Source organism: Homo sapiens, chromosome 4 (assembly GCF_000001405.40).
Source record: "Homo sapiens chromosome 4, GRCh38.p14 Primary Assembly".
In the NCBI taxonomy this organism is placed as follows: Eukaryota; Metazoa; Chordata; class Mammalia; order Primates; family Hominidae; genus Homo; species Homo sapiens.
The window spans coordinates 45,066,034-45,078,280 of record NC_000004.12 but is presented as its reverse complement, the minus strand read 5'-3'; the positions used below and the strand labels follow the sequence as shown (position 1 = coordinate 45,078,280).

The 12,247-nt window shown below is 34.5% G+C and overlaps 1 annotated feature.

The window, feature by feature from the left end:
* Positions 5,029-5,188: an enhancer, noted in NCBI's record as "active region_21528". NCBI's record gives its function as "activates an Ori minimal core promoter by ATAC-STARR-seq in GM12878 lymphoblastoid cells {active_cell/tissue: GM12878}" and the evidence as "EXISTENCE:reporter gene assay evidence [ECO:0000049][PMID:35858748]".

Sequence of the window (12,247 nt, the reverse complement as noted above, 5' to 3'; positions counted from 1 at the left end):
CTACCAAAAAAGATACAGGCACATGTATGTTCATTGCCACACTATTCACAACAGCAAAGACCCAAAATCAACCTAGGTGCCCATCAACGATGGACTGTGTTTAAAAATGTGGTGTATATATATACACCATAGAATACTACACAGACATAAAAAAGAACAAAGTCATGTCCTTTGCAGCAACATGGATGCAGCTAGAGGCAATAATCCTGAGCAAACTTATGCAGGAACAGAAAATCAAATACCACATGTTCTCTCTTATAACTTGGAGCCAAACATTTAGCACATATGGACATTCACATGGGAACAAAAGACGCTGCAGACTAGATGGGGGAGGAAGGAAGTGAGGCATGGGTGAAAAAACTACCTACTGGGGACTATGATCACTATCTGAGTGAGGTATCACAAGATGGTAGAATTATGGAATTTTTAATCTCTTCAAGTTTAATGTTTTCCTGATTTTCCAAAATTAATATATACTTTTTTTTAAAGTCAGTATAAACCTTGCCACATATTTCCACATTGAGCTACATCCACATATTCATATTTTATTGAATATCATCTCTTGTCTCACTTGATTATAAAGTCAATAAGAGACGGGAACATGTTTGCCTTTTATTACCACTGGCACAGGTTTGCTATGCAATATTGTATCCACTCAACAAATATTTTTACAAAAATGACTGACTAGATGAATAATTGTAAAAATCATGGTTAAATAGATCAAGAATAGATGCCTTATATTCTATTGAACCAGCACATAGCCTACAGAATAATTTTCCTTAAGCAGATATCATGTACCCACCTTGTAATGAATTATCTCCCAATGTATATGCATTCACATCTGAGTAAATTCTAACATCCATACTTTATTTGGAATTCAAATATTCTTTAAACCTCAACTTCCTGAAAAGTAAGCAGGATAAATAAACTCCCTATAGTTAGGCTGCAATTAGAGATAATCTAGGTATGAAATTTAGCATGTACCTGACCTAAAGAAATTATTAGTATTGGTATTGTTATTATCCACTTTCTTAATCTAATCTATTTTTAAAGTTTTGTCACCCAGTTCTCAATTAACCATATTTCTTTTCAGTTAAATAACACTACTTACTTTTAATTAAAATAAACCATAGAATTTTCAAAATTTCAATTATTCTAATGTCACCCTCCCAATATTTACCAATCTGAATATCACATATACATACTATTATTTACTTTTTAAATACACCTTATATTGCTTTTGTTTCTTAAATTGATTTTTGGCAACAATATTGATTAAATCATGGCTTCGATTTTTTTCTAATATAAAGTATGTAATTATTAAGTAAACAAATACACACAGAGACACGTATTTCTTCTTTGCTTAAACCCATCTCATCTTGTATTTACAAGTAGTACATATAATATATTTAGAGAAACATTGTCCCATATTATAGTGGCAATTTGGCAGTTGGTCCTGTGGAGTCATTTTGTGGATTCAAATCCTAAATTCAAATGTGTCTCAGAGCTCACCTAACATTTCTGTGTTTCAGTTTCTTTGTTCATAATTGGTAGTCAAAATAAGTTTAAGAAAAAGAAGAGTAATTTTAAAATATTTTCCTCTTTGTTCATTGAAAAAGTTTAAAAGCAATGACTAATTCAATAGAAATGAGTATTCCTAGTTCTTACATTGTAGCTCTAAATACTATTTTACATTACACCAATTTAGGTCTCCTTGAAGAAATGGCTGATTCCAATTCTGAGGTAGGAAATAGATCAGATTAGCCCAAAGAGTATCCATCCAAGAATACTGAGATCATATCAGAAGGAACCAATTTAATTAGGTTTCTAGTGAGTGAACATGGGACAATTTAAGCACTGGTAAGCATAATTTAACTGTAATGAACTGAAATCTATCAATATGTTTATATCCATGAGTTTATGATGATATGACAAAAGAAAAATTCATTGATTACCTTTAGTGGATGCAAGAAAATTATCTCATTATTTTGAAAACTGATAACTGGATTAAAATAATTAAATATTTATTCTGCCTTTCCTATCACTAATTTTTAGATAACAATATAATTAATGAGGAAAATACCTCTCTATTGAAATAATTCAGCTAATAGATGCAGGAAAATAATCACAAATAATCACCTGACCATTTATGAAAAATAGATGTGGAATTAAGTGCAAATCCAAAGTTTGTGCCTTGAGGTTATGGCAGGATGAAGTGGTTCTTAATTAAAACAAAATAAAAGAATCATTAATTGTGAATTAGGGCAAGTCATTTAACCCTCTGAGCAGCTTCTCCTCTCGTAAGTTGGGAATCATAAATTCTACACCTAGACTTAAGTCTTGTGAGACTTCAGTGAGATAATATATAGGAAAACATATGTAGTGTAACATTCTAAACAAGCTTAACATATACCTAGGACTTTATCTTTCTTTCTTTGAGTCCACGAAACATTTTCTATGGACCTATTTTATAGCAGTTATATTTTTATTCTCTAATTATTTGCACAATATTTTAAATTATTTATCTCTACCTGTTCGATTATAAATTCCCTAAAGGAAAGAAAGATGTTTTGCTTAATTTCCATGCCCTGTTTTCCACATATCCGGATTTGAAAATATCTGGCAAGCAAGTAGGTTCATTCTCCTGCACATCTGCTATGTATTTATCATTCTTTTCCAATGGGGCTAGGGTACAGAGTTAGTATTTTTTATAACATGCCCTTCTATGCAGCCACTGCTTTTACCTGACACCTGAAAAAGAAACTTGTTTGTCACAATTTATCACTACCTTAATGGCACCAAGCAGACATTTATTGAATCAATGAAGTTATAAAGTATACCAAACTCAAACTAAGGTCTGTGAAGCTGTCTAAATAAAGTACATGAGTTTCGTTGCAAGCAGTTTATAATCTTTTTTGCTTACTGAAAGGTTTTGCTTACTTTACAGATCTTAGATGTTTCTGGTAAGGACAAGTATGAATATTGGACTGGGAAAGTGTTAATATAACGGGGTATGATTATCATAATGCTAAAAGGTTTAACTTTCCCCTTTGGACTTTATTTAAAATGTTACAATTATTTCCTTGCAAAATTTACCATTAATCATTATTACAAGGCCTGATTTACAATAGAAGGAAATTCAAAGTATTGGAAAAAACGACACAAAGAAATTAAGTGCAAGTACATCCAAGGAAAATTTTTGTCACAGCTTCCATTATATGATAATATGATTTAATTCTACCATTACAAATAAGTCAGTAGATATTCAATTATTACAGTAATTTTGAGTAACTTTTTTTTCAGAAACAAACTCTCATCTCTATACCTAGTGAGCTAAGTTAAAATTGCTCACCAGGGAGACTTTTTTCTGCCAATGCTTACACCACAAAATCAAACTCTGTCCTTATATTTTAGAGCCCCCCTTCTGGAGAATATTTTCAGAATATCACTGGAAGCCATTTTTTAAAAGTATTATCTCCCAAGAACATCTAAACTAAAATCTAAAAAGTTAGAATGTATCCTTTCTGATTTAACTATTACAGATTGTATATTAATTTATACAACCCATTCAATACTTTTGAAGAAAAATGTCTATCAGCATATACATAAGGTTAAATAATTTCAAGGAAAATGTTTTAACTACCCATAGTAACAATTTGAAAATAATGTTATATAATATAGTTATCAAATATATATATTTATATTCTTTCTAGTACAGTTCTACTGGAAACTTTATGTAGAAAATATTAACACTTGGTAACAAACTCAATGTTTTCATCTATAAAGTGGGTATAGTAAAAACACAGAATTTACATTATGTCTTTTAAATAATAACAAGTGTTGACAAGGATGTAAAGAAATTGGAATTATCATAGCTTGCTGATGACAATGTAAAATGTTGCAGTTGTTCCAAAAAGCAGCTTGACAATTCCTCAAGAAATTACTTATAGAGATACCTTATTACTAAGCAATTCCACTCCTAGACATATAGCCAAGATAATTGAACAGATATTGAGCACACAAAAATTTGTACTGAGCATTCATAACATTACTCATAATAGCCAAAAGGTGGAAACAACCCAATGTCCATCAACTAATAAACGAATAAACAAAATGGTATATCCATGCAACAGAACCTCATTCAACCAGAAAAAAGAATAAGGTATTGATTCATGCTACAACATGGATGTATTTTGAAAATGTTATGCTGAGTGAAAGAAAACAGACACAAAAGGCCACATATTGTATGATTCCATTAGTATGAAATGTCTAGAATAGGCAAATCCATGGAGTCAAAAATAGATCAGTGGTTGCCAGGAGCTGAAAGGAGGGCAGAATATAAAGTAACTGCTAATGGGCATGGGGTTATTAGGGGGTTAAGAAATGTCCTCAAATTACCTAATGACATTGGTTAAGCAGTTTTATGAGTACAGCAAAAAGCATTGAATTGTACTTTTTGGTAAATGTGAATATTATATGTGAATTACATATCACTGAAGAAAGAATCAGTCAGAAGATAGGTGTCTAACTACTATTGTCAAAACTGTTCTATTTCACATAATAAATAACATTCTTTTAGCTAGGTTGTGCTGGCTAGTACAAAATATTCTTTGATTCATGACACATTTTTAGCTAAAATCAACTTATTGCTTAATTATAGTATTGTTAATATAGATTTTGATTTTCCATTCCTACAGAAGAAAAATAGAAATATTCTAAATTAGAAAACTTCTATCCAACTTGAAATCTACCTTATATTTTCTATACCAATTTCCAAGTTTACATAGTCTCAAACAGAAATTTAAGAAATACACTGTTCTCTTAAGATCAATTTTTTTAAAAAATGAGACTTAAATAAGTGAGAAATATAAAAATGCAATTTATAAGACACATGATATGGTTTAGCTCTGTGTCCCCACCCAAATCTCATGTCGGATTGTAATACTCAGTGTTAGAGAAGGAGCCTGGTGGGAGCTGATTGAATCATGTGTGTAAACTTCCCGATTGCTGTTCTTATGATAGATTTATCACAAGGTCTGGTTGTTTAAAAGTGTGTTGCATTTCCGCCTTCACTTGCTCTATCTGCCTCCTGCTCCAGCCATGCCAGTTTCCCTTTCACTTTCTGCCATGATTGTAAGGTTTCTGAGGCCTCCCCAGAAGCAGATGCCACTGTGTTTCCCAAGCAAACTGTGGAACCATGAGCCAATTGAACCTCTTTTCTTTGTAAATTACCCAGTCTCTGGTATTTCTTTATACCAATGTTAGAACAGACTAATATACCATAGAAATGCAATAACAAGATATACCCTTATTTTTCTATTAAAATTATTCAAGTATAGTAACAAAAAATATCCTACTAATAAAATGCCAAATACAATATAAATTATTACAGATTTGATTTTAATTCTTTTCTGTTCTAATGGACAAAAAACCCATAGATCAGTATTATTTGAAGACATATCTTCACACTTACAGATTTACATGTATTTAAAGAGATATGTGTTTTGATGTGCACAAAGCAACAACTTAGAGGTTATATACAATCTAACTTTTATTTTTTCAAATGAAGTTATTTAAAATAACCAAAATTTTGCTGTAACTATTAAGTCAGGGCCTAGTCTTTAATATTTTTATTATTCTTTTTCTAAATCTACTGCCTTCAGGGCTGCCTCTGAGAGATACGATCAAAACACACAAGCATTTAACTTAGAAAACACAAACATGCATTTACTCAGAATGAGAGATATGTGACTTATATTATCTTTAGTTTGTTAGTATAATCACTGAGACTCTGATGCCAACAGGAAATAGATGCAATCAGATAAAAAGAACCAATGTTCAATATTAAACCAGGGATCCTTAAAGAAATGACTAATTGAAAGCTAGGGTAGGAATTATACAAAATAAGCTCAGAGAATTTTGTAATGCTAAAAAGTAAAGAAATGCTCAAATATACGCACAAACATGCACACATGGGGTATGTTAAAGATTTCAGACAGACACAGGAGCCAGCTGAAAGTGCTCCCAATACCAAGAACTGAAATAATATGAGCAACAAAATATACAAAGTAGTATCTGATTATAATCCAAACCACAACAAAAATGTCCATAAGGCCATACTAATATAAGCCAATGTTTAAATAAAGAAATAAATAGAGAAAATAGACAAATCTTTCATGCAGAAAAATTTCAAATACTTGATGTGGATAATCCAACTCAAGTAAGTGGAGTATAATTCCCCATATCTTATGTGTAGGCTGTGCATAATTACTTCCTTCCAAAGACTATATTATGAAATGGGAAAAAGCATAACTTTATAGTGAAAAAAATCTCACAAACACTATCTGAACCAGACAATCAAATTTAACACCCACAGTGATAAGTCATGTTGATAATATGTAGCTTGATATACTGTGATGAGAATGGCACTTTTCTTCTGTGGTCTTGCCCCCTCCAGATTATTAACTCCAGGGCAATTGTGGAAAAAATTCAGAAAAAGTCCAGCTGAGGAGGATTCTACAAAATACCTGACCAGTATTCCTTGAAACTGTCAAGGTTATCAAAAAGAGTAATTGTTTGAGAAACTGTGACAATATGGAGTAGCCTGAAGATCCTAAAGAGACGTGACTACTAAATGTAATACAATATGCAGGATGGGATTCTGGGCCAGCAAAGGACATTAGGTAAAACTCATGAAAATCTTTTAAAAGTGTGGACTTTAGTTATAATGATATATCAATATTGGTTTATTAATTGTGACAAATGTACCATAGTAAAAACAGGTACTAATAATAAGGGAAAATTGAGTGTTGGGCATATGAGAACTTTGTAGTGTCGTGTCTATAGTTTTTCTATATATTTTTAAACAAGTCTAAAGTAAAGTTTATATTTGAAAGTGAGTCTTTGCAGGTTGGTATAAAGCACAGAGAGACAAGAATAAAAGACTCTTAACACTGTCTTACAGTCTCACAGAGAAGTGAATGACATCTTTCATGCTGCATGGAAGTATGTGGTGCATTTTCTTAAACATCATAGAATAAAAAAGTAAAACAAAATTTACACAAATGAAAATTAGCTTAAAATATTATCTAAGAAAAAGATGAAGGCAATAGAAAAGAAAATGCCACCAGATGAAATTTTCATGCTTGCTTAAGTGTTTCAAAAGAGAAACATGCTAGTATCAAACACTACATCATGATAGTTTTATATTATAGAGTAGTACACTCAAAAATGTGTATACTGTACTTCCTGGGAAATTTAGTAAGTTTTTAAAGACATATTTGATTTGGAATTTTCTCTTAATTCAAAGACTTTGATTTTTTTTTAACCTGGATCTGTCTTCATCAGATTTTGGCAGTGACCCAATAAAAAGGAGTTGGATGGGGAGTGTATTAACCCATTCTCACACTGCTATAAAAACATACCTGAGTCTTGGTAGTTTATGGAGAAAAGAGGTTTAATTGACTCACAGTTCTACAGGCTGTAAAGGAGGTATGCTTTGGAGGGCCTCAGAAAACTTACAATCATGGCAGAAAGTGAAGGAAAAAAAGGCACAGTCTTTACATTTTGCAGCAGAAGAGAGAGCAAAGGGGGAAGTGCTACACACTTTTAAACAATCAGATCTTGTAAGAACTGACTCATTATCATGAAAACAGCAAGGGGAAAATCCCCTCCCCACTGCATGATCCAATCACCTCCCACCAGGTCCCTCTCCCTACATTGGAAAGTACAATTCAACATGCGATTTGGGTGGGGACATAGAGCCAAACCATATCATTTTGCCTCTGGCTCCTCTCAAATCTCATATCCTTCTCACATTTCAAAACACAATTGTGCATTCCAAATAGTCCCCCAAACTCTTAACTCATTCAGCATTAACTCAAAAGTCCAAGCTAATGTCTCATCTAAGACAAGGCAAGTCCTTCCATCTATGAGCATGTAATATCAAAAACAAGTTAGTCATTTCAAAGATATAATGTGGGTACAGGCATTGAGTAAATAGCCCCATTCCAAAGGAGAGATCAGGCAGAACAAAGGGGCTAAAGGTCCCATGCAAGTCCAATACCCAGTAGGGCAGTCATTAAATTCTACAGTTCCAAAATAATCTCATTTGACTCCATGTCTCACATGCATGCCACACTGATGCAAGTAGTGGGATTTCAAAGCCTTGAGCAGCTCTTCCCATGGGCTCTGCAGGTTACAGACCCTACTGCTGATTTCGTGGGTTGATGCTGAGTGTCTGTGGTTTTTCCAGGTGCACATTGCAAGCTGTCAGTTGATCTATTATTCTGGGGTCTGGAGAATGGTGGCCCTCTTCTCACAGCTCTACTAAAAAGTGCCCCAGCAGAGACTCTGTGTAGGGGCTCCAATGCTCTATTTTACCTCTGTACTGACCTAGTAGAGGTTCTCCACGAGGGTTCCACCCCTGCAACAGACTTCTGCCTGGATGTTTCCATACATCCTCTGAAATCTAGGTGGAGGCTTCCAAACCTGAACTCTTGCCTTCTGTGCAACCACAGGCTCCAAACGATGTGGAAGCTGCAAAGGCTTGAGGCTTCCACCATCTGAAGCAATGGCCTGAGCTTTACCTTGGCCCCTTTTAGGCACAGCTGAAGCTGGAGCAGCTGGGATGCAGAGTGCCATGTCCCAAGGCTACACAGAGCAGCGTGGCCCTGGGCCTGGCTCAAAAAAACATTTTTCCCTCCTAGGTCTCCAGGCCTGTGATGGGAGGGGCTCCCATGAAGGTCTCTGAAATGCCCTGGAGGCATTTTCTCCATTGTCTTGGCTATTAACATTTCACTTTTTTTCAATGATGCAAATTTCTGCAGCCTTGAATTCCTTCCCAGAAAATGGGTTTTTCTTTTCTATTGCATGGTCAAGCTGCAAATTTTCCAATATTTTATGCTCTTCTTCCCTTTTAAATATATTGCAATTTTAGATCATCACTTTGTGAACAGATATGAATATATACTGTTAGAAGCAGCAAGTTTACACCTTGAACATTTTGCTGCATAGAAATTTATTCCACGAGATCCCTAATCATCTCTCTCAACATTCCACAGATCTTTAGAGCAGGGGCACAATGCTGCCAGTCTCTCTGCTAAATTATAGCAAGTGTGACTTTACTCCAGTTTCCAATTAGTTCCTCATTTCTATCTGAGACCTCAATAGCCTGGCCATCTCTGTTCATATCACTATCAGCATTTTTGGTCACAATTGTCAATAAGTCTCTAGGAAGTTCAAAACTTTCCCTCATCTTCCTGTCTTCCTCTAATCTCGCCAAACTGTTCCAACCTCTGCCCATTACCCAGTTCCAAACTGGCTTCCATATTTTTAGGTATCTTTATAGCAATGCCCCACTTCTCTGATCCTAATTTTCTGTATTAGTTTATTCTCATACTGCTGTAAAGACATATCTGAGACTGGGTAATTTATGGAGAAAAGAGGTTTAATTAACTCACAGTTCTGCAGGCTATACAGGAAGCATGGCTGGGGAGGCCTCAGGGAACTTACAATCATAGCAGAAGGCAAAGGGGAAGCAGGCACAATCCTTACATGGCAGAGCAGGAGACAGAGAGAGTGAAGGGGAGAAGTGCTACACACTTTTAAACAACCAGATCTCATGAGAACTCACTCACTATCCTCAGAGCAGCAAGGGGAAGTCTGCCCCCATAATCCAATCACCTCCTACCATGTCTCTCCTCCAACATTGGGAATTATAATTCAAACTATGACTTGAGTGGGGGCACAGAGCCAAACCATATGAGGGAGGACATTGTTTAAAATGAAGATTGCAGCCTACTCCCGTCACTAATTCTTACTAGGTTGATCTCTGGTAGAGTTGTATCAGAAGATGCTCATGTTGATTGTCTTGGAGTTTTCCTCGAGAAATAGGAGTTCATTAAATTCTTCATGAAAATGTCATTTGTCATAACAATGTACTTTGGTATTCTTACAGTTCTGCTTTTTCAGAAGTGGAGTATGAGGAGTAATTAACTGATATGAACCTCTTAACAACAATTTTTGTATTCTTAACTAAACCTTCTAGGACTCCATATTCTTACTTAATTTGATGAAACACTGAAGTCAATGAGAGAGACATTTGAGAGAAAGAATTTGTTTTCAATCTTAAAGATATTATCAAGGATCTGCAAATACAGTTTTATAGGTCTTAAAGTCTAAAAACACATTCTAGATAGGTCTTACAAGACAATACCTGTTAAAACCAACTCTTGTGAGTAGGGCTCCAGTAGAAATCTATTAGGGAGAACATATAGACTTGGCAGTTGGGTGGACCTAGAAATAATTGGTTGTCTGATATGGGGCAAGCTACTTCAACCCTTAGAGCTTCATTTATCTCATATGTAATATAGGAATAAAAATACCTTAAGGATAGAATTCTTAAAATTATTTGTTGCAGTAGTATGTGGAAAGCATCTGATAGATTGTTGGGCACATAACTCAGCACTAGTAGCCAGAAACATATTAGATCCATTCACTTATTGCATTAGATTTAGGAATAATAGTACTCACAAGTTAAAATATTTTGCAATATTAAATGTCATGAACAAAAACTGAAAGTGACCATAGGCTACTATGTTACACAGATGGAGACACTGAATTCCAAAAAAGTTATATGGTATGTCCAAAGACGTAGATTTTGTTAGTGCTGCTTTCCAGCCCACAACCAGAAATCTAGATAGCCAGGCCAGTGACACATAACCTAATGCATATCATCTCAGGAATGGTTCCTACTATTTTAAAAATAACCAAGTTCACCCTTGAGCTGAAAGTCACATTTCTTCTGGTCAATGTAACTATTTAAACAACTTTTCAGGAAAATGAATGCAGAAGGTAAGAAAATTACCCAAATGAATACATTTTTAAAAGCTACGTTTTCTTATTAAACTGTTGTATTAAGAACTTTTCTGGTTCCAATTTAAGAAAATCTCTTGGTAACGCAAATTGCCATTTAAATTCAAGCTTAAATTTCACCTAAAACTGTAGGAGGTATAGCTAATACTTACTAAAGCTGATGAATATTCATTTTCCCTGTCCAGAATATTATAATGGATTCAACTTGCTTTTAAATCCCCTCAGGATATGGTCATGATTTCATTGTATGCCTGATTCAATAAACAGGAAGAATGATTGCTAATCTCTCCAGAAAACTGTAAAGAAAATTTTCCCTTATGGCACTAGCAACTCTTCATTGGGCTTAAAATTTCTTCGGTTTTCAGACAGAATTATTTTTAATGTATTAAATATACATTATCTGCAAAGACAGCTAAATACAACTCATCAACGGGGAGGGACGAGGTTTCTAACACACCTTAGTTCAAATGTATCAAAAGAAATCTCTTTCTACGATAAAAGTTTATTTTCCCACAATAACTGAGCAGAGACAATGAGAGATACAGCTATTAGACTAATAAAAGAGAATGAGACAAAGGCTTATAGACAAATATGTTGTACCAACTCTATGGAATGTGGCTGGATATTGAAATACCAGGCTCCTAACATGCACTCTTCTCTTAGATATCTACACCCTCTGCCTTTGGGATCTCGTCCAATCATATGGCTTTAAATGCCATCAGGATACTGATGACTCTTCAGTTTATGTCTCCTGTCCTAACCTCTTCCCTCAGTTCCAGATTTCCTATATATCAAACTAGCAACCTGATCTCCATTTGAATATTTAACAGTGCGTCAAAATGAACTTGAGAGCAAAACTGACAGAGAGAGAGAGAGAGAGAGAGAGAGAGACAGAGAGAGAGATCTAGGTTTTCTAAAAACAAAACTTAACCTCATACCTCCATAAGTTTTTCCCACCTCATTAATTATCTGCACTACCTTCTCAATTATTTAAACTTTAAACTGTGGTATACTTTTGAGTCCTCTCTTTTTCTCATACATACATTCCTCTGTATTCAATTTACATTGTTGAACTTGCTCTACTTTAAAAATATACCCCAAATTCATTACTTCTTATCATCTCCACTCCGGCTCAAGGCAGTATCATGGCTCACCTAGACTCTTAAAACAACCTTTGTCTTTCTTGTGTCCAGTGTTCTCTCTAATTCATTTGCAACATAGGATGTTGAAACTTAGATTTAGCACTTTCCTGCTTATGAGTTTCCATGGGTTTTATATTGTAAATAGAATATAATCCAATTATTCACCTTGCAAAGCCAGTGAAATGGCCTCTGTGCATCTCTGTGAGCTCATGTCCTGCCCATTTCTCTCT